At 55.3% G+C, this 27,967-nt stretch overlaps 2 protein-coding genes across 76 annotated transcripts in view, besides 8 other annotated features; one reads left to right on the top strand and one right to left on the bottom strand.

Moving 5' to 3' along the window:
- The window catches only part of SMPD3 (sphingomyelin phosphodiesterase 3), a 90,182-nt gene extending 78,141 nt beyond the window's left edge, over nt 1-12,041 (top strand). For 10 of the 12 annotated variants that reach the window (NM_018667.4, XM_011523207.2, XM_047434339.1 and 7 more), the window contains 6 exons: nt 5,276-5,351; nt 5,462-5,617; nt 6,502-6,591; nt 6,809-6,872; nt 8,609-8,765; nt 9,061-12,041. In NM_018667.4, coding sequence (NP_061137.1) covers nt 5,276-5,351; nt 5,462-5,617; nt 6,502-6,591; nt 6,809-6,872; nt 8,609-8,765; nt 9,061-9,162 — 645 coding nt within the window. In that variant the 3' untranslated portion in view covers nt 9,163-12,041. Of the gene's footprint in view, nt 1-2,521; nt 3,025-5,275; nt 5,352-5,461; nt 5,618-6,501; nt 6,592-6,808; nt 6,873-8,608; nt 8,766-9,060 lie in introns of those variants that run through there. The other 2 variants (XR_933371.3, XM_011523210.3) reach the window with 2 other exon arrangements.
- Nucleotides 493-682: an enhancer, noted in NCBI's record as "active region_11015". NCBI's record gives its function as "activates an Ori minimal core promoter by ATAC-STARR-seq in GM12878 lymphoblastoid cells {active_cell/tissue: GM12878}" and the evidence as "EXISTENCE:reporter gene assay evidence [ECO:0000049][PMID:35858748]".
- Nucleotides 1,647-1,846: an enhancer, noted in NCBI's record as "active region_11014". NCBI's record gives its function as "activates an Ori minimal core promoter by ATAC-STARR-seq in GM12878 lymphoblastoid cells {active_cell/tissue: GM12878}" and the evidence as "EXISTENCE:reporter gene assay evidence [ECO:0000049][PMID:35858748]".
- Nucleotides 2,273-2,825: an enhancer, noted in NCBI's record as "H3K4me1 hESC enhancer chr16:68401446-68401998 (GRCh37/hg19 assembly coordinates)". NCBI's record gives its function as "activates a minimal SCP1, AML or CMV promoter by ChIP-STARR-seq in naive H9 embryonic stem cells {active_cell/tissue: H9 hESC(naive)}" and the evidence as "EXISTENCE:reporter gene assay evidence [ECO:0000049][PMID:30033119]".
- Nucleotides 2,826-3,379: an enhancer, noted in NCBI's record as "H3K4me1 hESC enhancer chr16:68400892-68401445 (GRCh37/hg19 assembly coordinates)". NCBI's record gives its function as "activates a minimal SCP1, AML or CMV promoter by ChIP-STARR-seq in naive H9 embryonic stem cells {active_cell/tissue: H9 hESC(naive)}" and the evidence as "EXISTENCE:reporter gene assay evidence [ECO:0000049][PMID:30033119]".
- Nucleotides 6,176-6,987: an enhancer, noted in NCBI's record as "H3K4me1 hESC enhancer chr16:68397284-68398095 (GRCh37/hg19 assembly coordinates)". NCBI's record gives its function as "activates a minimal SCP1, AML or CMV promoter by ChIP-STARR-seq in naive and primed H9 embryonic stem cells {active_cell/tissue: H9 hESC(naive and primed)}" and the evidence as "EXISTENCE:reporter gene assay evidence [ECO:0000049][PMID:30033119]".
- Nucleotides 6,988-7,800: an enhancer, noted in NCBI's record as "H3K4me1 hESC enhancer chr16:68396471-68397283 (GRCh37/hg19 assembly coordinates)". NCBI's record gives its function as "activates a minimal SCP1, AML or CMV promoter by ChIP-STARR-seq in primed H9 embryonic stem cells {active_cell/tissue: H9 hESC(primed)}" and the evidence as "EXISTENCE:reporter gene assay evidence [ECO:0000049][PMID:30033119]".
- The window catches only part of PRMT7 (protein arginine methyltransferase 7), a 49,852-nt gene continuing 31,382 nt past the window's right edge, over nt 9,498-27,967 (bottom strand). For 8 of the 64 annotated variants that reach the window (XM_047434217.1, XM_011523115.4, XM_047434226.1 and 5 more), the window contains 11 exons: nt 24,566-24,693; nt 24,088-24,223; nt 23,074-23,157; nt 22,690-22,737; nt 21,937-22,026; nt 18,053-18,120; nt 16,802-16,973; nt 14,485-14,645; nt 13,571-13,667; nt 13,166-13,314; nt 11,784-12,574 (listed from right to left, as the gene is read on the bottom strand). In XM_047434217.1, coding sequence (XP_047290173.1) covers nt 12,490-12,574; nt 13,166-13,314; nt 13,571-13,667; nt 14,485-14,645; nt 16,802-16,973; nt 18,053-18,120; nt 21,937-22,026; nt 22,690-22,737; nt 23,074-23,157; nt 24,088-24,223; nt 24,566-24,693 — 1,218 coding nt within the window. In that variant the 3' untranslated portion in view covers nt 11,784-12,489. Of the gene's footprint in view, nt 13,315-13,570; nt 13,668-14,152; nt 14,339-14,484; nt 14,646-16,801; nt 16,974-17,958; nt 18,979-21,936; nt 22,027-22,689; nt 22,738-23,073; nt 23,158-24,087; nt 24,224-24,565; nt 24,694-27,967 lie in introns of those variants that run through there. The other 56 variants (NM_001378022.1, NM_019023.5, NM_001378021.1 and 53 more) reach the window with 28 other exon arrangements.
- Nucleotides 13,617-13,776: an enhancer, noted in NCBI's record as "active region_11013". NCBI's record gives its function as "activates an Ori minimal core promoter by ATAC-STARR-seq in GM12878 lymphoblastoid cells {active_cell/tissue: GM12878}" and the evidence as "EXISTENCE:reporter gene assay evidence [ECO:0000049][PMID:35858748]".
- Nucleotides 21,164-21,664: an enhancer, noted in NCBI's record as "H3K27ac hESC enhancer chr16:68382607-68383107 (GRCh37/hg19 assembly coordinates)". NCBI's record gives its function as "activates a minimal SCP1, AML or CMV promoter by ChIP-STARR-seq in naive H9 embryonic stem cells {active_cell/tissue: H9 hESC(naive)}" and the evidence as "EXISTENCE:reporter gene assay evidence [ECO:0000049][PMID:30033119]".

Raw genomic sequence — 27,967 nt, 5'->3', positions numbered from 1 at the left:
CAGGCCGTGACACCGCCTGGCTCACTGAGGCCACTAGCTTCCCTGGCCTGGACACCCCTCCCTCCTGGCTGTCGTGCAGCTGCCCTGCCAGGCTGTCTGCCCACCAGCCATGGTTTCGCTTCCATAGTCACTAATTAAAGTGAATCATAATTATTTCTGCTAATTTGGATTCGATTGGAGGAGTTTTTAGGCTGTGGTAATTTGGTCATTACACATTATCTTCTACTGCGCCTGAGATGCTCAGAGTGTCGACTTTTGTTCTCTATCCAAAAGCCGCTCATGGTGCTTCCACGGTTTTCTGAAGTGTCATTTGGCCAGTGGATGCAGCACAGGGCTTTCTGCCCTGAGAGGCAGCAGCTGTTTCAGATGTGGGTTCTGTCCCTTTAGGGTGAGACATGAAAAAGTGGTGGCTTTGCAGGGAGGGCTGCGGTTCAGAGGCCTGCCTAGGGCAGGTTTCCTCACTTCCCAGTTCGCCTTCAGAAGCAACCACACTCCGCCTGCCCAGGGAAACACTGGTGCGCAACCTGGCGCCTGCCATGAGTGGCAGAGCTTGTCTTCAAGCCCTATGGGAGCCAGGGCAGGCAGCAAGGGCCCTGGCCCCCACTTCTGGTTCGTCCATGGCTCTTGTGTGGCTCTGCCAGGCCCAGAGTTTGGGTCCTCTGCTCTTCATTCACAGCAAGGGATGCTGAAATTGAAGCAACTCCTGACAGATAGATCCAACCTTCCCATTTTGGCATATGGTCCGTTGGTGTTCTGTTCCCTGGATATATTTTTGTCTCGACAGCTAGAGTGACTTTCTGGGGAGGAAGGGGATGTGTTGCCAGGTCCAGGGTGGGAGGATGTGCCCCTTACTCCCACCCCTCACTCCCACCCTACTACAGGTGGCTCAGAGGCCGGGCCCTCCCCCGCCCCCTACCCCAGCCCACTTCTGCACAGATCAATCCACACATCCTGTCCCCACCTCCCTCCTCTGTGGGGCACCCTCACTGTTCCCACTGAGCTCAACAGTGTCTGCCTGGGACAGCCCCTCCTCCCAGGTTCTGTCCTGAAAGTTCTTTTCATCTTCCTCTACCTCCTGGGTCTCAAACTGTAACCTGATCTATGACATTCAAAAATTTTTTGTATTGACCAATTTTTTTTTTTTTTTTTTGAGACGGAGTTTCACTCTTGTTGTCCAGGCTGGAGTGCAGTGGCACGATCTCGGCTCACCACAACCTCTGCCTCCCGGGTTCAAGCAATTCTCCTGCCATGGCCTCCCAAGTAGCTGGGATTACAGACATGCACCACCACGCCTGGCTAATTTTTTATTTTTAGTAGAGACGGAGTTTCACCGTGTTGGTCAGGGTGATCTCAAACTCCCGACCTCAGGTGATCTGCCCACCTCGGCCTCCCAAAGTGCTGGAATTACAGGCGTGAGCCACCATACCCAGCCTTGACCAATATGTTAAAATCAAGATATTTCACAGAAAACCCGGTTTGCAGGTTCTCTCAGCAGCCCCAGGCCTGCCACATTCCGTACCCCACGCGGCTGCAGTGAGCTGGAGCCGTGGTTGGCTGCCCCGCAGTGGGGTTTCCCAGCAACCATCATGACACCTGCCTGGGAGTGAGACTCTGCAGCTTCCATTTCTGCCCTTTCTGAGGCCCCTCTGCTTTGTCCTGGCCCAGACCTCTCCCCCCAGCCCTACATCTGGCTGCCTCCAGGACACATCCCCATTCACTCGCAAACCAGACTCAGCCTCTGCCCCGGGCTGCTCCTCTTCTGTGTTCTGCCATCCTGAAGCCAGAAGGACCACCTTGGCTGCTCTGTCCTGTGCCCGACCCATCCATTCCAGGCCCCTAGCTCACTTTCCAGATGGCCCTGGGTGCACCCCACATCTCCAGCTCCCTTGGCCCAGGCCCCCTCCTCTGCATCAGCCCTGCTGTGGTTTCAGCCACCCTCCTCGTCTGAGGCCAGGTGTGACTCCTCTTATGCCCTCCACTGCCTCAGGAAGTCTGAACGTCACCTTGTACCACCTCCCGCCCCCCTGCCCCCGCCACCCTTAGCTCCAGCTCTGCCCCAGCCACAACCCCGATGAGGGGCTCCTGTACCCCTGGCCCCTGCTTGTCTTGGTCCCACACTGGGTGTGGCCACACCACCTCATGGAGCTCCCTCAGCGGCCAGCCACACAATCCTCTCTTCCCTTCATGGGCTCCTCTGCCCTCGTGCCCAGGGTCTTGTCTGTCCATCAGACAGAGCACCAGGACAGCAGAGCTGTGGTGTGCCCAGCACACGCGGATCCCAGCGCGGAGAAGTGAAGTACGTGGGGCTGCCTTGGGGACAGGCCCAGCCGGAGAGGGGCCGGGACGCTGGAGGGACTCGCTGCAGAAATCAGCGGTCCCCTCCTTCCCGGAAGGCCCTCATGGTTTCCCGTATGGGACTTCAGAGCCTTCAGGGAAATGTGGCTCTGTGAAGGAAGGGACTGGAATCCCTTTTTCCTCACCTACAATAGAGCCTTATTCTGGACACCTCTTCCGTTGACAGTCTTTGCCCGCCAGGACTCAAAGGCACAGCCTTTCGTGTGATTGCTTGTTTTTGCAAGAGAAACACAAGGCTCTGCGGCTCCCAAGGCCACGAGCCAGGAATCAATGAGGCCCAGCAAATAATCAAGTGGATCTTGGTGAGATCACACGGCAGATGAGGAGGGAGAAGCGGGGCGGGAGGGAGCAGGACCTCGTCACTCCTCCGGCCAGTGGGTTCTTGTCGTGCAGGGCCCAGTCTGAGGCCTCCCTGCGAGTGTCCAACCCTGTCCGGGACACAGCGCGGGGCAGGTGACACCAAGTGTTGGATGAGTGAGAGGCTGACGCCTTAAGACCAACAAACAGGCGGCCGGGGAGAAACCGCAAAGACACCAGCCCCTCAGAAAGCAGCGCAGAGCAGCGCACAGCAGCGCACGACAAACAGATCCGACTGGAAGCTGCCTCTTAGACCATGTGAGCCTGTGACCCCGGCCCACAACTCAACTTCTGGCCTCAGTGTGTTCAACGGTAAAAGCAGCATCACTTTATCATGTGCCTGAGCCGTTGTAAGGACCCAGAAAAGTAATGTCCATGCGTCGCCACCCCACCCCAGCACGAGCCCACTGGGCCTGAGATGATCCTCATGGAGGAGGAGCAGTTGTTGCCTGAAGACGGCGCCCCCGTGTGGTCTTTTATTTATTTTGAGACAGTCTCATTCTGTCGCCCAGGCCAGAGTGGTGCAATGGGGCGATCTTGGCTCACTGCAACCTCCGCCCCCCAGGTCCAAGGGATTCTCCTGCCTCAGCCTCCTGAATAGCTGGGGTTACAGGCATGCACACCCAGCTAATTTTTTTTTTTTTTTTTGAGACAGAGTCTCACTCTGTTGCCTAGGCTGGAGTGCAGTGGCATGATCTTGGCTCACTGTGACCTCCGCCTCCAAGGTTCAAGCGATTCTCCTGCCTCACCCTCCTGAATAGCTGGGATTACAGGCACATACCACCACGCCCGGCTAATTTTTGTATTTTTAGTAGAGACAGCGTTTCACCATGTTGGTCAGGCTGGTCTCAAACTCCTGACCTTGTGATCTGCCTGCCTCAACCTCCCAAAATGCTGGGATTACAGGTGTGAGCCACTGTGCCCAGCACACCCGGCTAATTTTTGTATTCTTAGTCGAGATGGGGTTTCATCATGTTGGCCAGGCTGGTCTCGAACTCCTGAACTCAGGTGATCCACTTGCCTCGGCCTCCCAAAGTACTGGGATTACAGGCGTGAGCCACCGTGCTCAGCCTCATGTGGCCTTTTGAGCATGGCGGCTTCATCAGTGTTTTGTTTTTGCAGCAGAACCATCAATGCTGCGTGATCTCACAGAGCCATTCGGGGGGCGGGGATGCTGTTAGGCTAAGGTTTGGGTCTGTCTGTGGGCAAGAAGTGAATGGTGAACCTGTGGGGCTGAACAGCCAGACGTTCGTACCCCCAGGTGCTGGGGAAGGAAGGCTGTGCATTAGGGCTGGGAAGGGGATGAAGAGCTGTAGAAAGCCAGGGGCACCTGCTGCTGAGGACGTCCAGATGGAGGAGATAATACCAGCCTGACCGACTGCAGCAGTGAAGGAAGGACGGAGCCTGCCGAGGCTGTTGGAGCAGATGGGCTGTGACGTTTGGGCTGCTGTGAGCTCCACAGATGTGGGGCACCCACCCTGCGGCCCTCTGCCCTCAGCCAACAACTGGGAGAGGCAGTGTGTCCTGCCCAGCCACCTCCCTGGAGTGCTTTTTGGGTCTGGGGTCTCCTCATCTTGGGAAACTCAGTCTGGAATGGATTTGCATGGCTTGGGGAGGGTACAGAGGCACAGGAGGGAAGGAATCCCAGGGGCAGGGGATGAGGAGCTGGTAAGCGGCCTCTCTGTGCAGGGCATCTCTGTGGCCATCCCTCACCTCTCCTGGGCTGAGCACTGACAAGGGCTCCATCTTGCCCCCACCTGGGGTAGGGCAGTTATGAATTGCCTGCAGGGTACAGTGGAGATGCTAATTTGTATTAAGCCAGCCTTTGGGATCCTGCCAGGGTCACCTGCTCCGTCTTGGGTAAAGGAGGTAAGCAGGAGGTCGGGGCAGAGGGGAGACCTGAAGAGGATGCTGCCACAGTGGGCTCAGGATGGAGCCAGGGGTGTGCAGGGGCCAGCCTAGGACACAGGTCAGGGAGCTCTCATCCAAGACGGGTGACAACGGGACCACGGCCTATAAAGCAGATGACTCACCATGCAGCCAGAAGGCGACGAGGCCAGGAGGGGCAGGGTCTGGGCCTCTTGCTGTGTGGGGTGGGCTCTGAGGCCACGCCATGGCACAGGGGCAACCCCCTGAGATTTCAGGGGGAGAAAGCACCAGGGTGTGACCAGGTCTAGGGTGTAACTGAGGGAGGGAGGAAAGAGCCACAGACAGGACTGGACAAGGAACTGAGAGCCGTGGCCACGCTGGTCACTGGGAGATGGCAGGGCCTGGGCCTCCGGGGAGCCTTGCTGCGGTTCGGCACTTCCCCCATGCTTTGCACAGATGGCCGCCAGCACTCCCCACGCCACAGGCCAATAGTTTCTTTCAGCACCCGCCTCTGGCCCAGATCCGTAAGTCCCTAGAAGCAGGACACATCCTGTCCCTACTCGGACCCCAGAATCCAGCCAGGAGCCAGGCTTGTGAGGGTCTGACCTCATGGGTGGGTGGGCACTGCCAGTGTCCTGTGCTCTCAGGGCCACAGTGACTGGCAGGTGGCAGCACTGACCCCCTCCTCCCCCAGGTGCAGGTGGGAAGCACACCTCAGGACCAAAGAATCGTCGGGTACATCGCCTGCACACACCTGCATGCCCCGCAAGGTAGGGTTGCCGCCCACCTGTGTTTTTTCTAGGCATGGGATCAGTGCCTGGGGCCTAGCTGGGGTCTGGGGCGAACTTCATCATCCAGTCTCTGTACTTCTGCCCTGCAGAGGACAGCGCCATCCGGTGTGGGCAGCTGGACCTGCTTCAGGACTGGCTGGCTGATTTCCGAAAATCTACCTCCTCGTCCAGCGCAGCCAACCCCGAGGAGCTGGTGGCATTTGACGTCGTCTGTGGAGATTTCAACTTTGATAACTGCTCCTCTGGTGAGGCCGGGCTCCTCCCCACTCAGGTCTCCAGCTCTGGGGAGGCTGTGGGCTCAGTCACAGCTAGACAGACTTCGTTAGGCAGCTCAAAGAATTCCTGCTCCTCGAGAGCATGTGGGCGGGGTATTTAGCAAGACTGATTTCTCTGCCCCCTAGAAATCCTAGAACAGGAAGAGCCCACGCTCTGCCTAGAAAGCTGGAGACAGAGATGCCCTAAAAACGAACCTCTGACAAGGAAGGCTGGGGGCCTCTGAAGCAGACAAAGGACGAGTCCACTAGTAACACCCATCAACGGGGCGCCGCGCTCTTGCTTCGAGCCAGCTGCCATTCTATCGCTGTTTCACTTAAGTGTCTTAACAACCCTGAGAGGGAAGCATTGCATGTCTCCACGTGGTGTGGTGGAGGAAGCTGAGACTCAGAGAGGCTGGAGAACCAGCCCAAGGTCACATAGCCAGGCAGTGATTGCACTGGGATCTGAACCCTGGGAATTGCACCTTAAACCATTAGGGTGAAAGACTACAAGCTCGTCATCAGTGAAACAGCAAACACTTGCTGTAAATAACTGATCTGTGGATCCGATGACCACATGGACCTTGTGGGGACCTTCCTTCCTCTGTCCGAGGACCGTGGTCACTGTCACTGTCCTCAGAGGGAATGCTGAAGATCAGGGCGTGTGCTGGGGGAGGTGTTCTCAAGGACACAGAAAAGCAGCGACAAATGAAGCACGGGGCACCTGAATGGGACTGAGATCCCACCCAGGGGCAGTGGCCTAAGGGATGGGGGCCTGGCAGCACATGGGGAGTAACTGATGGGAAGCAGGGGCACAGGCCGTGTGGGACAGCAAAGCCCCCTGGTGCCTCAGCGTTTCCTCCCTCCCCGCACAGACGACAAGCTGGAGCAGCAACACTCCCTGTTCACCCACTACAGGGACCCCTGCCGCCTGGGGCCTGGTGAGGAGAAGCCGTGGGCCATCGGTGAGCTGGGGCTGGGGGAGGAGGATGGGAGCTGGGCTCCCCACAGACTTCCCTCAAAGATCACCAGGACCTACCCCACAAGACCCCACTGCTGGGGAAGGGCCCCATTCAGCTGCCCCTGGCTAGCAGAAGCCCGTGTCCACCCACAGAGGCCACCCCCTAGAGGCTGCCTGGGCCCTGCCTGCAGCGACCACTGTCACCCCCTCGTCCCCCCCAGGTACTCTGCTGGACACGAACGGCCTGTACGATGAGGATGTGTGCACCCCCGACAACCTGCAGAAGTAAGCACTGCGCTCCCAGGCCAGGGACGAGGCACACCCTGACTAAGGTGGAGACAGGGACTGGGCAGGACCCACATGGGAGAGCTCAGCTCGGGCTCATGAGGGCTTTTATTTGGCAGAAACCTGTCCCTCATCTCACCTTTGAGAGCTTTTGAGAGCTGGGAGCTGGGCCAGGCAGGTAGACCTCACGCCCTCACGCCCAGGGGTACTGGCCTTGCTAAATCTCTAGGGGTATTTCCCAAACCTGTTTTCAGGAGCTAGCCCTGCCCCGAGCCCCTGCCTGCTGGGTACAGGAAAGGGCCTGGAATTTCCCCCGGGCCAGGCCACAGGTCGACCCCCATGAAAGAGCTGCTGGGTACGGCGCCTGCTGAAGGCAGCCTGGCAGCTTGCAGCACCAATCAGGCAAATACAGACACCAGCTGCAATAACACAGCCGACCATTTTCAAAGTAGAGACAGTTCCATCCCAGCCAAAATTCATTCTTGAGCCCAGTAAGATGTCCATAAAGAACACATCTGAGAGGCCAACAGCAGAACCAATTTATAATTCACAGCCCGAGACTGCAGTCACAGCGATGGTTCCTTGCAGCTAATTTGAGCCAATTAATTAGATTATAGACTAAATTTGAAACATCATCCTATGCTGAGAAAATTCTTTTTATGAGATGATGATTTAAAAATGACTACCAGTAGCTCTCAGATCATTGATGCTGGAATTAATTATCAAGGGCAAAGGACAGTGATGGATTCCATTTCTGAGCTGTAACAATGTCCTGAATGTCATTAGTGTATTTATCTTAAGGCTGATGAAAACCTTGTGGAAGCCCATGTTTGCAGGCCCTGCCTCGCCGGGTGCCCCTTTTGCATCCGTCCAGGCACTCACAGACCTGGCGGCCTTTGCAGGGTCTCTCACCACTGCACTTGCCATCCCAGGCCCTGGCCCCAGCCTGCCCTCTGCAATGGGGGCTCCCAGGAGGGGGTCCTAAGCCTCTGGCCCAGTGGTGCTGAGGCCCCAGGGGACAGGCTGGCAGGAAGCAGACGGGCATACTGCTTGTCTCAGGGCAACAGTGCCAGAAAGGGATTCCAGATGTCACATCCCCCTGCTCCAGCGCCCTGCCCTCCCTGTGGATCCCCTAGCACCATCATGGGTTTCCTCACTCAGAAGCGGGATGACAGCCTGTTCCCTGAAGCGTCTTGGGGCCCACAGCAACCATTCTTGTTTCAGAGGAGGAAACAGAGGCTTGGAGGCTTGGTAACATAAGCAGAGTCACACAGCCACGTAGGGACAGCCCCATTTGAGACTCCTCAGAGGTGCTCTCCTGGCTCCCTCAGCTCCTGTCAACCTGGGAACAGTCACAAGGGTCCCCGAGACTCATGGCAAAGACCAAGCTCCTCAAAACAGGCCCCTGTTGGCTCAGGGCAGAAGCCCATTCTGGGGAACGGGTGGGATCAGTTCTGTCCGAGTTCAGAAAGGGAAAGTGAGTGCTGGCCAGGCTGGGGCGGACAGAACACTTCGACGGGCTCCGGAGCCCAGATTCAGCCAGGAACCCACAGGCAACTCGGCCTACCCCCAGCTGAGGCCCTTTTTGGACCCGCAGGGGAGAGATCTTAAACCCAGCGCTTTGGTCCCACCCACCCGCTCCCACACTGGGAGGAGACCATGGCTCCACACACAGCCCCTGCCAGGCCCACAGGGGCGGGCATGGGGGCCCACCTGCCTCCTGCATGTGTGGACAGGGTCCTGGAGAGTGAGGAGGGCCGCAGGGAGTACCTGGCGTTTCCCACCAGCAAGAGCTCGGGCCAGAAGGGGCGGAAGGAGCTGCTGAAGGGCAACGGCCGGCGCATCGACTACATGCTGCATGCAGAGGAGGGGCTGTGCCCAGACTGGAAGGCCGTGAGTCAGGAGGGCCCAGCAGCCAGGGCCATGCAAAGAGAGAGCAGGGCCCGGGCCCTGCAGCTCTCGACAGCCGCTCCCTGAAACCCCACGCCCCAGGCCACTCTTACAATGATACCCATCACTCCCTCAGACCCTTAGGGCCCCAGGTCCTCCAGGCCCCATCCCTCTGACTGCAGGAAGGTCCCAGCCCACCCCAGCCCCGGGGCCTCACTTTGGGGATCCCCAGGCCGCTCCCTGCAAGATGCCCTTGGAATCTGACCAGGCTGTTTCTCCCCTCTCCCACTCACCCCAGGAGGTGGAAGAATTCAGTTTTATCACCCAGCTGTCCGGCCTGACGGACCACCTGCCAGTAGCCATGCGACTGATGGTGTCTTCGGGGGAGGAGGAGGCATAGACCGTCCGGAGCAGCGGGGCCTCTGCCAGCCCTTGCAGCTGCAGCCCATCCCTGGGCCATGTCCCCTCCATCGAGTGCCCGGTGCTTGGGGGAGGAGGGCAGGGACAGGGAGGGAGCCACAGTCAGTGCCCGGGAACCTGGAAGCTGCGCTGCTCTGCGCCTCTGGGCCTCACTGTGGACAGAGGAGTCAGGCCCGCCCCAGGAGCCTCCAGCTGCCTAACCAGTGCCATTCTTTCACAACACGATTTTCTACAAATCTACAGCACAACCGAGTTTGTAACCCGTGGGTTAGTATGAGGACCGGGTTCGTGTACTCTCTGTATCTCCTCTTAAGCTTCGTCCAGGGTTCTTTATTTTTGTCTGCTGCCAATGTCGTCTCGCATGCCTGCACCCTCGCATGCACGCTGCCCGCATGCCACGTGCCACGCTGTAGCCACAGACCCCTTGCTCGGGCCTCACCCAAGGCCAAACTCCAAACACAATCAGAACCAGCCAAAGAAGCACTTCCTGGGCACGGCCACCAGCTCTCCCGCCTCCAGTGTGGGCCGGCTCCTGCAGGGTCCGAGGGCTGCATCTCTACCAGCCAGCCCAGGGCTCTTCCCAGGGTCTCGCATTCAAGGGCAATTACATTTTAAAAAGAAAAACAGAAAAAGGTTAATCACAAAACCAACCCTCACTTCACAGGGTCTGTAAGTCACTCATAGAACTTTGCTCTTCCCGAGACAGGGTCCCTTCCCCAGCTCAGGCACAACAGAGTCTGGCAGGCTCTGGCACCCTGGGCCTCCTCCGGGAGCCTCCCATCTGGGCAGTGGAGCCATAAACGGGGATCCGAGAAGAGAGTATCCACTTTTTTTTTTACAGGAAGAAGGGACTCACAGCATAAACGGGGGTGGGGGGGATCCTGATTTTGAAAATAATCTATTTGTAGCTTCTCTTCTATCAAAACCAACACATCCTCTTCTTTCTGCCAATCCTCTCCCCCACGGGACACCTCTCTGGTTCGGGACCAATCCCTCCCTGGGGACGTGCCCCACCTGCGTGCCGGCTGAGCTCAGGAACCCCTGCCTGCCCCCCGGGTGGGGCTGCGGCTCTGGCCTCCCAGGCCCATCCTCAACAGCTACCCCAGCCAACACCAAGGCCACAAGGGGACCCCGGCCTAGGAGGCAGGAAGCCAAGGTGCAGAGAGCAGCCTGGCCCTCACCAGTGCGCAAGCTGGGGCAGCAAGGCTGACAGTTGCTGCATGCCCAGGGCAGGGTGTGGTACTGGCACCCAAGTTCAGCATGGCAGAGCTGGCCAACAGCTTGTGGTCCCCGATCTGCCTCCAGCCCCAAGATGCCTACAGCCCCCAGGCCCCTTCGGCAGCACTGCCTCTGCCCACCTGCCTTTAAGAGACTCCAGGGCTGCTCCTGTCATGCAGCGAAGGTTTTGTCTGTTTCAAAGTTCGAGACTCAACTTGAGGGACTGTTTTTGACAATCCCCGCTGACCTCCGCTCCTCGTGGCGCCCTGGCCCTACACCCAGCCTGGCCCAGGGCCGGCTTTGCCTGGTGAGGCTGGAGGGAGCACCAGGACCTGCTGTCTGCTGTCAGCCCCTCCTGGTGCTGGTGCCCTGATGCTGTGCCTTGTCACCCATTGAGCTGCAAGAGGGACCAAGAGGGGGCCACGCAGCCAGCCAGATGCCTGGCCCTGTGCTGGGGCAGACAACGCTGCAGAGCCCAGGGAGCCTGGCGCTAGGACGTGCGTCCTTGTGACACTGGCCTGTCTGAACTCACCTGGCCTGGGAAGCACCGTCTGCCCGGGCCCAAGCCCTGCCCCTCCAGAGTCCAGAGCCAGGAAGGGGCTGCTGAGGGCGAGCATCCTGCTGGGCTCTCTGCCCGGCCCACCCCTCCAAGGGGCTGGCCTGTGAGCCTTGACTGGGATTCATGATGTGGAGGCCCCCAACTTCCAGAAGCAGCTGGTACTCTGCTCACACAAGCGACTGGGCCGGCCGGCCCTGGACCCCTAGACCCCGAGCCGCCTGCCGACTGCCTGCACAGGGAGAGCAGTTGAGGCCCGGGCAGGGCCCCCACACCAGACCCCAACATAGCTTCCCCACCCAGGCACCCCCTCCCGGGGCAGCAGGCGTGGGAGTCAGGGCTGCATGCTCCTCCCCTCCCACCTCACAGGCGGCCTTAGGCAAGTCATTTTCTGTCATCACAAGGTCGCCTCTGCCTAGTCAGGTCCTGGGGTCCAGAGTAAGGATGTGCGGCCCCCAGGCCCCCGCACACCTCCCTCAGCACCAAGACCGGGACCCCCCCACCCACGTGTCTCATTGTGGCTGCCTATGGACTCCCGGGCCTTGTGTGCAGGCCAGGCCCTTCCACTGATTTTTTAAAGTGAACCATTGCTGGATCTCAGATTCTGTGGCATCTAAGGCCTAGCAGGGGTGGGCACACGGGTCACCCGAGGCCCATACCAAGACTCTGTTCCTGCCCTAGGCCCAGTCTCAAAGGAAGCCACAAGGCGCGGGGGCCACTGAGGAAGGAAATGTTCATTTTCATTTGTCCAAAACCACCTTAAGTTTTAAGTATATTAATCTTGATGCTTTTTAACTATTGCTTTTTAACTTGCTGAGATTTAGAAATACTGTTATAAAAACTTTTTTAATTTCTGTATTTTTTTCTGTATTGTATCTTCATGGGACATTAGGGGTTTTCTATGGTAAGCACACCTATGGTTTTGGTAAAAACATTATCAAATATATATCCAGACGGTTCTTCCCTAGAAGAAAAACAAGTCTTTACACCTGATAAAATATTTTGCGAAGAGAGGTGTTCTTTTTCCTTACTGGTGCTGAAAGGAAGGATGGATAACGAGGAGAAAATAAAACTGTGAGGCTCAAGGCTGGTGTTCTCCACTTATTTCAGCGACAAGCTGGGGCCAGGCCTCAGGGGCACGCCTGGGGGCAGGGGAGGGAGTTCCTGCCCCCAACTGCAGGACAGGCACTGCCCAAGTCTGCCCTGAATCCGAGGACACCGGAACTCTGCTCATACAGGCGGCTCGGCTGGCCTGGCACAAGCCTCACCTTCTAAGCTGCGAGCCAGAGGCCACTGGGTTCTCTCACGTGGTGTCTGCTGTTACCTCTGAGAGCTGGGACATAACCAAAGGGGGGTTAGTGTGTGAGAGAAGCAAGGCCACGGCACCTACTGACCTTCCTGGTGAAGCGGCGCTGGGCAGGGGCTGCTCCCTGCCATACCCCACCTGCAGGAGGGGCTTTCCAATCTGAGGGAGGTGCAGGGAACAGGGCTGCCTCCCAGCTCCCCTGACAGCCACTTTCCTGGGCCTGCATCTCAGGAACTGCTCTGGGACAGCTGCCTTGTGTCCAGTCTCAGGTCCTGGCAGGCCACCAGCTGGTGCAGCACTGAGGCCAGACACCTATGGATGTGGCTTGAAGTTACCTGTCAGGTGAAAGGGCCAGAACCCAGGCCTCTCAGCCCGGGCCCAGCCAGGGTCTTCAAGCCCCAGAGACCCAGCCACAACTCAGCATCTCCACCCTCCTAGCAGAAGCCAGAAGAGCAGGGACCCGGAGATCCTCGAGAGTGAGACAGACAGGACAGGCTCCCGCCACGGGGACTGCTCGCCAAGGGCGGCGTGGACAACCCCACCGGCCAGCCCCACAAGCTCCCTGTGCTTCCACTCCCTTCCCAGCTGGGGAGAGATGTCTCTGTGTTGGAGCATTCTCAGCACCTCAGAAGCACAAGCAGGGGGGTCTTCCCAGCCCCTCCAGGGCTCCAAATTCAGTCACCCTCTCATGCTTCCTGCCACAGCTGGAGCCAGAGGCCAGCAGTGCAAAGATGCAACAAGATGCAACACGGCGCAGTCTTTCCCATCCCTGAGGCCGAGCAGCTCCCAGAGAGGAGAGGAGGGCCTTCAGCCTTCCCCGCTAGAAAGCCATGAGCCACTCAGAACCCCAGCCCTCAGGCCACTTTATTGCTCAAGAGTGGTCAGTCTGGGGTATCTGCATGCCTGAACTCCATGATGATGTCGCCTGTGTCGGGGTGAAACTCCACTGCATAGCTGACAGTCCGTGGGCCACCCAGCAGTGCTCTGGGATCTGGGGCAGGGCTGAAGAAGTAGACGGCCTGCTTGCAGTGGGGGTTCCAGCAGCAGCCCCCCTGTAGGAAGAAGAGCAGGAAGATGGTGAGGGCTCCCTGGCACCTGAGCCTCCTTCCTAGCCAGCCTCCAGCCCAGGCAGCTCGCAGCAGAGAGAAGCTGCTCAGGGGCCAGATGGCCCAGGACCACTGAGGGGTCATCATCTGGCCCGAAGAACTTGTGACAGAAACACCCAGAGCATGGGGGCAGGGAGGCCTCCCCAGGCGGCGCCTGCTCTCAGGGTCTGCACGCACACTGGGCCCGGTGCGCAGGCACTACCTCGGGGTCTGCAGGCTCCAGGAGGCCAGTGCTGAGCGTGCACTCCGGGGTCAGGTGGTACTCCATCCATAGCACCGCTGCGTGGCTCTGCCCGGGCCTGTCAAGGAGAGGGGGGCCCAGCAGAAGTAGTCACACAAGAGGCAGCGGGGGAACAGCTGCAGCTCCTGCGGCTTTCCAGAAACCTGTGGTCTTCCCCACTTCCTTCCTGCCCTGCCGGGAGTTCCTAGTGCTGCAGTTACATAAACGTTCCTCAGAAAAACCCCAGCCAGAAGAGCCGCAGCCAAGCCCCCACCTGAGCCAACCCGAGCCCTGCAGCCGGGCCACACATGGGGCAGGGCCGGTGTGGCTGCAGGGTCTGGGGGAGCTTGAGGCACAGCCTGGCACTGAAGGCCGGAAGGCCCCTCTGATGCCCCAGACAGCAACCCTGGGAGCTCAGGTGATGGCGCCCGCCCTGCCTGGCTGCCTGCCCCGAGTTGGGAGGTGCTTCCAGGAGAAGTCACTCCTCGGGCGAGGGTGGGGTGAGGGCCGGAGCAGGACAGGGCTGCCCGTCCCTGGACGCAAGCAGCACTTGCTGACCCTGACCTGCTTCAGCTCCCAGGAGGGTTCAGGAAAATGGTGCATCGGTGACCACAGGAAGTAAGCTCCCATCTTCCTGAGCTGTGATCCAACAAGGGAGCCTCAGCTGTAGAGGGGGAGCAGAGCCCTTCCTGGCTCCTCCACCAGTGGCACACACAGGACCGTGGGAACCACCACACGCGCAGGGCCACTCTGACAGGGAAGGGCAAGGTTGTGGGGAGGACGAATACCCCCTCCACGTGTCAGCGTCTCCCAGGCCAGCTGTGCTCACCACGGGGGTGAGAACTCCAAGGGCAAGCAGCAGCCCCTCCCTGCCCCCCAGCCCTCTCTGCACCCACCTTCTGAGCTCCACGGTGCCCTCGGCACACAGGGGCTGCAGGGGCACCGGCTGCTGGAAGTCAAAGGTCAGGATCTGCCAGGGCTCGGAGAGGCTGCGGCATGGGTACTCCCACAGCGGGTGGGGCTCAGCTTCCCTGCTCTCCCTGAAGTCCAGGGCACGCTGCGAACAGAAGGGGGCCTGGGGGCTGCAGAGACAGGCCGGCAGCTAGACAGAGGTACCGCTCCCCGGCTTGGCTCCCACTGACTGCAGTCACAAGGGGTGTGCGTTCTCCCATAAAGATGCCGAGCGCCCAGCAGACCAGCGGCGCCCCCTCTCTGCCACTTCTCTCTCATCAGTGGCTCCCCAGGCACCGCTGGCTCTGAGCCTCGCTCTCCGGATTTTTAAGATGGGGTGGTGCTGCCTGTCTCAAGCCTTCTGAGGACCACATATCTACATCACTGGTGAGAACACCCAGCACCTAGAAACTTGGTGACCACCACAGCTGTGTGGCCCCGACAGGTGGGCCCCGGGCCACAGGGAGGGATAAATGCGTGACAGTACAGCCCCGGTGCCTGGCGGCAGGCTGGGGGCACCTGCATCCAGGAGGGATGCAGAAAGCTACCTGGAGGAGGGGAGGTGACGGTCAAATGGGAGCCGGCAGGAGAAGGGCCAGAGGGGGCCTTGAGGATAGAGCTAAGTCAGGAGAGCAGGCCAGGGCACCCAGGCCAGCCGGGCCACTCTGCAGGTGTGGTGTGGGGAGCCAGCTAGGGCATTCCTGCAGTGGGGATGTGGCCAGACTCAGATCTACAAGTTCATGTGGGCTCCGTGTGGAGGACGGCCAGAGCAGGAGGGGCTCAAACCAGGACGGCAGCAGTCAGGGGACAGCCTGGGTCGGAGGCTCACCAGGAGCACGAAGACCAATGGCAGGGGATGGGAGGACTTGCCAGGGAGGATGCCCGGGGCCCTGGGCCTGGCTGGTCGTGTGAAGTGGCGCCAGGTCTAAGACAGGGCACTGGAAGGGCCAGGCTAAGGGTGGGGAAGGGCAGGTGGATTTGGAAAGCATAGAAGTAAAAATGCCTGGCACCCCACTGTGGGATACCCACCACTCTCGGCCATCTGCCTTAGCACACGAGAGACAGACACTGGCCCAGGACCAGAGTAGCAGAACCGTATCAGCAAGAGGGGACAGGGACAGCCAGGGTGGGCAGGCCATGAGCAGGGGCCCAGAGGAGGCGTAGAGCGCATGGGTCCAGAGCACGCAGGGCTCAGCACGAAGGAGATTTCTAAAAGCATCGAACAGTCAATGGTCTGCTGTGAGGGGCAGATAAGATACAAACTGAAAATATCCACAAGGTTTAATTTACTTAAAAAAGTGTTCACACACAGGCAATCCATGTTCACTATGGGAAAATGAGAGCAGAAAGGTGAGCAGAAGCAGAAAAGCCCCACCTCCCGATGCATAGCTGCTGCTGCGGGGCCACCGCTGCTTCCCGCTCCTCTGGTGTCCATGAGATTTCTTTTTTTGAGACAAGGTCTTGCTCTGTCACCCAGCCTGGAGGCAGTGGCACAAACGCAGCTCACTGCAGCCTCGACCTCCCAGGCTAAAGCCATCCTCCCACCTCAGCCTCCTGAGTAGCTGGGAATACAGGTGTGCACTACCATGCCTGGCTAATTTTTTGTTATTTTTTGTCGAGACAGGGTCTTGCTATATTGCCCAAGCTGGTCTCAAACGTCTGGGCTCAAGCAATCCACCAGCCTCAGGTTCCCAGAGTGCTGGGATGACAAGCAGGAGCCACGTGCATTTCCTTAATACACAGCACGGCCCATGCTCCTCACCCTGCCCCTCTCATGTGGATGGAACACGACTCTCAGCTTCAGTCCTCATGAATCCAAGGACCACTGGCGCTGTCAGGACAGCCCATGGTTCTGGAGAACGTAGGCCCAGTTGCTAACCCCTACCATGTAAATAACCTGTGGGAATCTCCTCAGGTACCCCTCCCGGGAATGGAGCCCCCACCATGGAAATGGCTGCCTAAGAAGGTTCCCAGATGGCCTCTGGAAAGTCAGCCCCACTAGAAAAGAAGCTGTGGGCACTGGCAGGGGCAGTTGCAATGACAGGACGTGCAGGCCCAGTGGAGATTCTGACACAGGGTGACAGCACGGAGCCAAGAACAGGGCTGGTACCAAGCAATGCTCATGTTGAACCACACAAAATGGCAGCACCTGACCTCACTGCCCCCAACAGAAGAGCCTGTGCTGCCCAAGCTGGGACCCTGTGAGAGGCCTGCGATACAGGAGCAGGTCGGGGGTACTATGCAGAGTGTGGCCCTGCCTACCTTAATCATGTCGTCCATGATGTGCACGTCGAAGCCTTCGCAGTCACCACAGGGGCTCCGGATCCGCCACAGGTCCTGTGAGGAAGGAGCAGCCCCGTCCACACCCGCCCGCCAGGACACAGGGAAGCGTGGCAGCAAGAACAAGAGGCACATCTTGCTGTTCCCTGCACACCTGAAAGAGACCCCCAAGTATGAAGGGGCTCAGAGAGAACAAAGATCCACAACGGTTTCTGTAACAGACTGGGCTGGGCGGGAACCTGCAAGCTCTGACGTGACACCTGAGTCCTCTCCTATAAGGGACAGTCGGCCAGAGCTCCTAGGCTGGGGGCTGCACACTCCTATCCGGGCCATCCTGAACATCATTTCTTTGGGAAGAAATCTGTAAGCCAATTCTCTCCCCAGCATCATCTCCAGTTCATGAGGATGCTGGGGAGAGAAAAAGGCCCTGCCAAGAGGAACCCAGAGGACACTCAGGCCACACAGCCTTCCCTCCCTTCCTCCTGGTCACACGCACGCATGGATCGTGACATCCCCTCTTTGGCCATGAAAACCAGAATTCATGTGGAAATCTGATTAGGTAAACAAGTAACACAGGAGAAATGCCCAGACTTTCAGTGATGGAGCCACTAAGCTAGGAGAGAAAACCACTCTCATCAAATGAGATACACTCTCCATCCAGGGTAAAGCTTTTCAAATCCTTTTAATAAAAATGCCCTTCCCAAAATGACTTTGTGACTATGGTTCTGCTTTGATGAGAAAATTAAAAGGAAGCTTTTCCATTTTTTCTTGCACAAAGCAGCTGACTCTCCCATCTCAAAATGCCTTTAACAATCGAAGCCTCGGCTATTAATGAGAGCAGAGCAGGCCACACGGCATGGCTTCTGAAACGCTTAATTTATATTTTTAAATTATTCTGATAAGCCACAATTGTAAAATGACAACACTCAGCCATTTCCATTTCGTATGTCAAATTATCGCATTTTTTAAAAGGCAAGCATCTTCTATTCAACCCCACAGTGTGCTGACACAGAAAGAAAACACAAGCTCAAATCATCAAGGCCTGAGCCGCTCTACAGGCACCCAAGGTTCCTGCAAGAAAACAAGGTTCCCCACCCGCCTCCTCTGCTTTTTTCTCCAACATCCCCTGGGTGGCCTACCCTGAACTCCACAACCACAGCGTGCAGCGAGGCTGCCTGGGGCATCACCATGGCACCTGGCCCCAGGTGCTGGTCCACAGCGGTCCGCACGTACCAGAAGTAGAGGTTGTGCCACGGCAGCAGGCTGGTAGTGAAGAACGGCTCGCCCAGGAGGAGAGAGACCTGGTGAATGGGCGAGAAGCAGGGCCCAGGTGTCAGTAGGGCTCGGTCCAGGAGTGTTAACAGGAACACGGAAGCAACAGGCCACTCAGTCACTCAAGTCACTCCCTCACTCCCTCCCTCTCCCTCCCTCACTCAGTCACTCACTCATTCCCTCCCTCCCTCATCAGTCCCTCCCTCCCTCAGTCAACAAACAAGCAAGGCAGCAAGGTGCTCTGTACCTGCCCTGGAGGCTGTAAAGATTACAACCAGACATGAGTCCCGTGCTCAGGAGAGCAGAGCAGAAGAGGGAAGCAGACAAAGTGGGGCTGACCCCATGTGATAGAAAAAAGCAAGGAAGGGGGTCATGGAGGGAGCCCAGAAATAAACGTGCCAGACGGGGCTTCCAGAGTGGCATCCTGTCAACCCCCACTGGACGCTTTATCTCAGGACTTACCGGGGCTTGTCTCCGTCTCCCTCCCCAGGCTCTGAGCACCACAAGAGCAGGGACTGGTGGCCCAGCATCCCCCAGCAGTGGGCCAGTGCCGTGACCAGATGTTCTGTGAACATTTGTGAGTAAATGAACACGTGCACAGCGAGGAGCCTGAACGGCCGAGGGAGGGGCAGCAGGGGCAAGAGTGAGGCCGGGAGACAGCAAGGCCCCCCAAGGTGAGGGTGTGGAGCTGGACAGAAGCCAGCCCAGCCCAAGGCAGCCAGGACAGGGTGAGGGGCTGGACTCATCCCGGAGGCGGCAGTGGGGGTGGTGGATGTCACTAGAAGTTTTCATCAGGGTTCAAAATCAGAAGGAATGTGATTTAGAAGATGCTGCTGAGGACCACGAAGTGTGGAAGGGAACCTGCAGGTGCTGGGGACGGAGGCGACCTGGGAGAGTGCAGAAAGAGTCCGGGTAAGAAACGGAGACTACAGGGTGGGAGGGGTGGGAGGAGTGGAAGGAGTGGCAGAGGGTAAGGAGGTAGCCGACCCTGGGCAGGCCCAAGCAGTCAGGCACCAAAGTGGGGCCAGTCAGAGATGATGGAGATGCAGCAGGAAATGCTGGCAGACAGAAGGGGCTGCCCTGAGTGCTTCCTCGCCTCCCCACACAGCATCAGGAACATGGCAAGAACGCCCGCTCCCACCACTCCAATTCAATGTGACCCCGGTCTACCGGTACACCACACAGTGGCTTTCAGAATCATCTCCTATGCCCTCATCTATGAGGGAGAAAAAAGGCGACTTGTGGATGAATATTTATAGCAGCATTACTCACAACAGCCCAAAAGTAGGAGCCACCCAAATGTCCATCAGCTGAGAAACAGATAAATAACATGGTCTATCCACACAATGGAATCTTATTCAGCAAGAAAGAGAAATGAGGTATTGATTCAGGCTACGACATGGATGAGCCCGAAAACATGAAGCCACATGAGAGGCCAGCCACGAAAGACCACACACTTGTCTGATTCCATTCACACAAGATGCCCAGAATGGGCAAGCTAAAGACAGAAAGGAGAAGAGTGGGTGCCCAGGGCTGGGGGACTGCGGACAAATGGTGCATGACTGCCAATGGGTAATGAAAGGGTTCTTAAACTGATGTGGTGATGGTTACACAACCTTATGAATATACAAAAATCACTGAGTGAATCGTAAGGTATGTGAATTATATCTCAATAAAACTGTTATTTTTTTAAATGGGCAAAAGGCTTGAATAGACATTTCACCAAGCAAGACAAGCACACGAAATGATGTTCACCATCATCAGTCATTGGGCAAATACAAATTAAAACTATGTGGAGACATCACCACACTCCCATTAATATGGTTATGCTAAAAAAAAAAAGCCAATGCCAGGTGCTGGTGAGGATCCGAGAACCTGGACCCTCAGATGTTACCGATGGGGATGTCAAAAGGACAGCCACTTCAACCAACAGTTCAGCAGCTTCTTAAAAAGTCGATCGTAACTACCACATGACCCAGCAATCCACACCAAGGCATCTGCATAAGAGACTGAGGACATACATCCTCTCTAAGACCAGTGAATCCATGTTCACAGAAGCCTTATTCAAAGTGGCCAAAAACTGGACACAATCCAAACGTCCATAAGCACATGAATGGATAGCCACACCGTGGAATGCTACACAGCCTTCAAAAGAACGAAATGGGTGAATCTCAAAGACATTATGCTCAGCGAAAGGAGCCAGACTCACAAGACCACACACTGCGTACCTCACTTTTGAGATATGCCAGAAGAGGCACATACTGGAGACACAAACCAGACCAGTGGCTGCCAGGCCTGGGGCATGGGGATGCAGACTATCAACAGGCTCCCAGGAATTTGGGAGGTAACAGAAATGTTCTCTTTTCATTCCCATTTTTTTTAGAGACAAGGTATCACTCTGTCAGCCATGCTGTAGTGCTCTGCCACAAGCACGGCTCCCTGCAGCCTCCAACTCCTGGGCTCAGGCGATCCTCCCACCTCACCCACCTCAGCCTCCTGGGACTACAGGCACGTGCCACCACACTCGGTTAATTTTTTTTGTTTTTATAGAGACAGGGTCTCCCTATGTTACTCAGATTGGTCTTGAACTCCTGGGTCCAAGCGATCCTCCCACCTTGGCCTTCCGAAGTTCTGGGATTACAGACATGTGCCACCATGTCGGGCCTGGAAATGTTCTAAATGAGACTGGGTGACGGCTAACTCCATATATTTACTTAAAAAAATCACTCAACTGTACAATTGAAATGCATTAATTTTGTGGTATGTCAACTACATCTCAATAAAGCTGTTATTTAAAAAAAGACTGGCAGGAAAGATGAAAGATGATAGCTCCGCGTTGGGTGAGTCCAGTTTGTGGCATATTCAAGGAAAGGTGACAGGATGGCAGCTGGACATGAGATTTGAATCCAAAATAGTAAAGAGTGAAGGCCGGCTCTGATGGTCACTGATTCACACATGAGAAGGAACGTGATTACCAGAGAGGATGCAGTAGGGGAAGCGGGGGACACGGGGAGAGTGCCACGGAGCAGTGCAAGGTAAGGAGCAGCCAGGAAGGTGAGGGGAAAGCGACCTCCCCAGCACAGGCAGAAGTCCCGGGTCACAAGGACAAGCGGGTAGAGCAGATGAAGCCTGCAGGGAGACCGTGGGAGTAACGACGAGGTTGCTGGCAGAAGCAGTTTCAGGGCCCGGAAGCCTGACTGCAGCAGGAAGCCGTGGACGGGGAATGAAGACAGGAGTGCGGTGGAGAGGAAAGGACATGCTCTGCTCCTAGGAACCCCAAGAGAGCTGCTCTGTCCTGACCTGAAGGAGCAGAGATGAGGCTGAGCTAAGAGCAGTACAGCCAGGTGTGGTGGCTCATGCCTGTAACCCCGACACTTTGGGAGGCTGAGACTGGCAGATCGCATGAGCCCAGGAGTTCAAGACCAGCCTGGGCCACATGATGAAACGCTGACTCTACAAAAAATACAAAAATTAGCCAGGCATAATGGCACATGCCTACAGTCCCAGCTACTCGGGAGAGGTGGGAGGATCGCTTGAGGCTGGAAGGTCGAGGCTGCAGTAAGCCAAGATCGTGCCACTGCACTCCAGCCTGGACGACAGCGCGAGACCCCATTTTCAAAAAAAAAAAAAAAAAAAAAAAAAAAAGAGCAGTGCAACCATCTGCTCACCGGGCAGCTCCATGAAAGCTTCACCACACCCTTGATGGTGGGAGCTCGTAGGAGGTAAGGTTGCATGTGGAGGACCCACTGTGAGACTCCAGGGACAGGGTGGGGCCTGGGCTACTTCAGTGCCGTGCTGACCACCCTAACACAGCCCAGCGTGGCCAAAAGGCTCCCGCTACTCACCTTTCTGCCCTGTAGGTCCTCATTTGTTAATAATTCCGGCCGTTTCTCTATGATGTTAATTTTATCTTCCAAGTGGTTAGCCTTGAAGATCTTAGAAAGAAAACCGTAAAATTACTGTATTCATACTAAAGTATTGTGTTTGTCAGGAAAAAAAAATCTCTCAAAGTTGCATTCTCCGCTTTGAATTTTCCGGCAAATGGTTCTGGAACACCACTTTTATCTGCTTTGTGGAAAAATCCTCTCCTTGGGGGGCATCCTATAGACCACGGATGAGATCAGGAGCACAATGTGATAAAAGCAAAAGAAATTTCTCCCGCATGTGCACACCAGGACTCAGTGCGAGCCTGCAGTTCTGGTGAAGGGAGTTCCCCTTTGGAGAGGAAATCAAACCAGTTACTGGCCAGGGAGAGAAATGCCATCTCCCATCAGGCTGTGAGCACTGGCTCCCTCAGCACTGATGTCCCAGAAACACATCCTACATTTAATTCTACCGCAACAGTAGCTTATGTGAAGTGAGGAAAAAAGCCTAAACTTCTTCAGACACAAAAAAACAAAGCAGAGTGCAAATGCCTGCCTCTATTTCAGTGACAGCTCCCAAGGCCTCTGGCTGCTCTCCAGGCAGCAACCAAGACAACACAGGGGTGCAAGCGAGCCACCACTCCTTTGTTCCCCTGGGGCCAATGCCACTTCAAAGCCATCAACCCAGACCCCACAGGTCCTCTCACTATTTCAGCAACAACAATTCTCACTTACTTTTCTCAACAGTTTGTGAGAAGCTGCTGAACTCTCGACTGTAAACACCTAGAGGGAACACCACGCTATTAGTTGTAAGATATTCACTTAACAGAGAAGAAATTAAAGATTAAAATGCGACAAGACCATCCTAAGACAGAGGACACACCTGAACAACCCTCCCTGCCCTCATTCCCTCCCTGGGGCAGCCTGAACACCAGCTCTGAGGCCTGACGCCTGCCTGCACGCACAGGCAATAAACCCCCCAGCCCCTGACCCGAGCATGCTGTGCCCACAACAGTGGCCTTTGCAAAGAGCCTTGATCACAGAATTGTGCACCCGGACCACGCAATGCTCTAACTCACAAGCCCACATCAGGAGGCTGACAAGGGTGCATGTCAGTACCTGCTCCACCCCCAGGTGATGGGCCAGCACGGAGAGCAGGCTGCCATCGCTGACACACAGGCACACGCTGTCTGGCTTCAGCACCTGCGGGGAACAGGCAAGCTCAGCACAGGGCTTCCTCCAGTTTGCCAGAAGATTCCTGCTGGCAAGCTGTCAGAAATACTTCCCTTCTCACTCCACTTGCCCAGACCTCAGACCATCCCCCTGCGTCCTCATGCAGTAACCACCCCCAGCCACAAACATGCCCGCCTTGCTCACATCTCCCCACCTGTCCCCAGTGTCAGGAAAGACACCCCTCAACCCAGCCTAGAGGCCCCGCTGAAGGCCTGCACCACCTGCAGGCCACCTTCCAGTCCATGACAACAGGCTTCTTCCCTGTCTGGTTAGAGCACAGACAGCTGAGAGCCTCCAAGGCTTGAGTGTTCACAATTGACTGCCCAAAGGCAAGGATGCCTTTCTGGGTGACAGACCCCTCTGAGAGAAACTCAGGATGGCTTGGATCCTCCCCCCATCCCCCAAAATGCACACATTCACACCTATTTCTGTACACACCCCCAAGGGCCTCAAGAGACCCTCCCTCTAAGCCCCATCTGTAATCCCCAAGCCGAGTCCCCTGCTACAGGTAGCAGGGAGCAAAGGTTTTCAGGCAGGAGAGCGACATGATCAGATTTACATCTTAGAAAATTTTAGAAAGGTGACAACACATGAAAAGAGGGGGTGGCCTAATCCACCGTGACCACCCACAGCAATGACTGTGTCTGACAAGGCAAAGGTGTCCAGCAGGAGCCCAGCCAGAGGCTCTCCCAGTAGAGCAGAGAGCAAGCCCTCAGGAAGTCCAGCCCCAGGCTCTCCCGCTTTCTGCTCCAGTGCCCACCCAGGAGGCGCTCGCTGAAGCCACTCATAGACAAGAGGACACAGGAAAGAAACAGCAAATCATAAGCAAAGTGCTGGGGTTCATGGGACAAACTTCTTTCTCCCTTTTCCCCACAACAAGCCAAGGGGCTGGACACTTACGGTCCTCAGAGCCTGGACGTATCGATCAGTTCTGTCCTGGTCATTGATCTCTCCAAACCGAGGCCGGTTCCAGAGCAGGTGAGCCTGGCAGTCACACACGGGGCGCATCTGGCGGACTCTCTCATTCTTTTCAGGGCTAGGCCAGGAGATGAACAAACAGACGTGGGCTGTGAGCGCCTCCACAGGTCTCCAGAGGGCATGAATCTGGACACTGGTCTCCAGTAGGCATGAGGGCTTAGAGCACCCGCTAATTCCAGACTTTTCCTACGCATCTGCTCTAAACAGATTCCAGCAACCCATGACAGCCTCTCCTGGGTACACACGAATGGGCACTGACACACTGGTCACAAATCTTTGTTCTTATGTTATTCTGTCCAGACACAAATCAACCCACTGGCACCTCCAGAGGATCTGTAAATGGGGAATTTACATACAAGTCTCAGAGGCTCATCCTCCACCCCCACGAGGCTCGACGTACCTGGTCCTCTGCAGGCTGTACCATACGCAGTAGTCATCGTGGTGGGCTACCAGATAGAGCGCTGAGCCCTGCACCACAGGCTCCTCTTGTGGCAGGAAGTACACACACTGCATCCAGTGGTCCCGCCACTGAAACGGAGAACAGAGTCAGCTGTCAACGAGCTGCAGTATGAGCAATGCTTCTAATCCAGGAGCCAAATGCCAGAGAACTGCCAGTTTTCAGGACGTCCACAATGTAGACTACAGCTGGCTATTGTGGCCAAGGAGATAAATAAACTCTAAACTCAGAGGCCAGTGGCCCAAAAGTTTGCGGGAACCCTGCTGGCTTTAGGAAGACACAATGTGGCCAAGAGCAGCAATCTGCCAGAGTGGCTCAGGGGAGGGGACAAGTGCAGGCTCCAGTCCCCACCCCATCAGAGTAGCACCAAAGCTCTCTCTTCAACACGTAGAGCTGTGCTGAATGTTTCCTTTGAAGGAAAAAAATTGGTTTAAACCTAGTGGTTTAAGGGGAACCTTTTCAGAACAGTCCATGGCACGCATTCCAAAGGCTTTAACGTACTCGGAATTTACAAAACAGTCAGACTCAATGCACTAAACCTAACTGGATCGTAGACTGAGGAAACAAAAGCTATCAAGGACTTCTGGAGACAAATTTTATTTTGAACCATATGTTAGACGATACTATGGAACCACTGTTTTTCTTAGGTGTGATCATGTGTTTCATTTATGTTGCAGACTGTTTTCATTCTTGGGAGATAAGTGTTGAAGTATTTAAAAGTAAAGTGTCAGATGTCTGCAACTTACTTTCAAATGATTTAGCAATAAAAAAAAAAAATGTGCATGCCCGTGTGTGTGTGTGTGTGTGTGTGTAGAGATGCAGGAAGGGAGGCAGAAAGACAAAGATAAAGCAGATGTGGCAAACGTTAACAACTGGTAAATTTAAATTAATAAAGCGACCATCAGTGTTCATTTTCACTTATTCTGTGGATATATAATTTTTCAAAATAAAAAGGTGGGAAAATACAAAAAGGTTTTGGCTTATTCTTTGAATTAAATTGAAGTATTTAAATAACTGAATATTCTAAATTGTGAAACATGGTTGACAATGATCCACGGTCAATTTTTAATAAGCTGTGCTAGTCCTTACTACAAACCCCACATACAGGTTTCTATCCTAAGAAAACCCCAAAAGAAAAAAAAAAGTTATATTCACATAAAAATGCAAATCACAGAATTATTTATACCAGCAAAAACTGGAACCCACCCAAATGGCCAGCACTCAGAACGGGATATAAACCCTCGTGCAGAATACGGACAGACATCTTAAACGCTGCTGCTGAAGGCCACGGGGCCCGGAACAGAGATGAGCACCGATGACACCCACGCGTTTGGAGAGAGACCAAACAAAGGGAGCTATTTTGAGTGAAAGGGAGGACCATGAGTGATATTTTTATTTTATATAATGAGGTTTATTTCGCTCATAATTGTTAAGCCTCTTTTTGAAAAAGGAAGAACTGCCCTAAAAAGTAGATGCCAGCTGGACACGGTGGCTCATGCCTGTAATCCCAACAATTTGGGAGGCCGAGGCTGGCAAATCGTTTGAGGCCAGGTGTACGGGACCAGCCTGGGTAACATACCAGTGACACCCATTTCTACAAAAAACACAAGATTAGCCATGCATAGTGGCAAGTGCCTGTAGTCCCAGCTACTCAGGAGGCTGAGGTGGGAGGATCGCTTGTGCCCAGGAGTTCACAGTTGCAGTGAGCTAAGAGGTGCCACCACAATCCAACCTGAGCAATAAAGCAAGACCCTGTCTCTAACAAACAAAAACAGGAGATGCCTGGCTCAACTCTGATGAGACGACTGCCTGCTCATTCTGTCACCTTCAGGAACTAAGAAAAACTTGGCCCTGTGGGACTCCAAGAGCACAGGTAAGGAATGTGCCCACCCACCTGGTCTTTAATTTAACAAAAAGGCAGGAGAATGACATTCCCACACGCTTAAGACGCTTACTTGAACATAAAAACTAGAAAATGAAAATCTGACCAGATATGTTCTGGAAAAATAAATAGTAACAGGAATAACACAGGTTCTTTTAAACCTTTTATTCATTCCCACACTATGCAAATGCATGTGAAGAAGACAGGAGAACCCTTTCCCGACCCCTCCTAGGCTCCCATGGCACTGCCCTGTCATCATGTCCTTCCCATACTACCTACCACAGGGACCTCCTGGGTCCTAACGTTGAGGAGCTGGTGACAGAACCCACTGTGCCAAGGTGGGACAGACTAAATATACTTAGGATCAAAGCAGTTACATGAATTCATGAGGGAGATTCATTAGCAGCTTTCAAATTTCCAATCCAAAAGTCAACGCTGGTAGAGAAACAACACAAGACCCACAGTCAAGAGACCAGGGGCAGGACCCACTCTACTGCTCCTGGACACAAGGCCCCGCTCCAATCCCTGGAGCCTGCTGAGTCCCGGGTTGGCTATGGTTGTGGTTACCTTGTTTGTCTACTAAGAGGATTCAAGGAGAAAAAATACATAGTAGCGCTCCGAAGATATGCAAATTAAAAGTACTAACTTTTTTTTTTTTTGAGACGGAGTTTCGCTCTTGTTGCCCAGGCTGGAGGGCAATGGTGCAGTCTCAGCTTACTGCAACCTCCACCTCCCAGGTTGAAGTGATTCTCCTGCCTCAGCCCTGTAGCTGGGATTACAGGCGCCTGCCACCATGCCCGGCTAATTTTCTTTGTATTTTTAGTAGAGACAGGGTTTCAACATGTTAGCCAGGCTGGTCTTGAACTCCTGACCTCAGGTGATCCACCTGCCTTGGCCTCCCAAGTGCTGGGATTATAGGAGTGAGCCACCGGCCAAAAGTACTAACATTTTAATGCTATTCTTATGCTAATTCTGCAACACAGTCTTAGGAAGAATGTGACGCGGTGCCAATCTCAACTCTGTGGGTGAATTCAGAGTGACACACACACAGCCTGCAGAGGGATGCTGGCAGGCCCTGGCTGGACACACACACACCCGGGGCCAGGCACCTGGAAGGTGGAGGGGAGACTAGGAAGCTCACATACTTCTTAGTCTCACATGCTGCTGTCGGTATGGGTACGCTGATTGACAGCAATTCCCCAGCAGTCACAACCCTTCGGCCTAAACAGTAACTCTGGGAATGGGGTAGGTGAAGCTGCTAAGGCCTTCCATAATGTTGTGGACACCTAGAACCAGCAGGTGAGCATTCAACACAAAGCCAGGGGTTAAGGCCAGGCAGGCTGGACCATGGACAAAGGATGGTGCCTGAGGCGCTCCTGGGTAGAGACAGGTTCTATTTCTTGGTCCTGAAACCAAAACTGCCTTTGCGAAAAAGTGAGAAAATTATGACAGTGAAAGAGATC

Source organism: Homo sapiens, chromosome 16 (genome assembly GCF_000001405.40).
Source record: "Homo sapiens chromosome 16, GRCh38.p14 Primary Assembly".
In the NCBI taxonomy this organism is placed as follows: domain Eukaryota; kingdom Metazoa; phylum Chordata; class Mammalia; order Primates; family Hominidae; genus Homo; species Homo sapiens.
The sequence above is the reverse complement of the archived record's forward strand: the minus strand, read 5'-3'. Positions and strand labels throughout refer to the sequence as shown.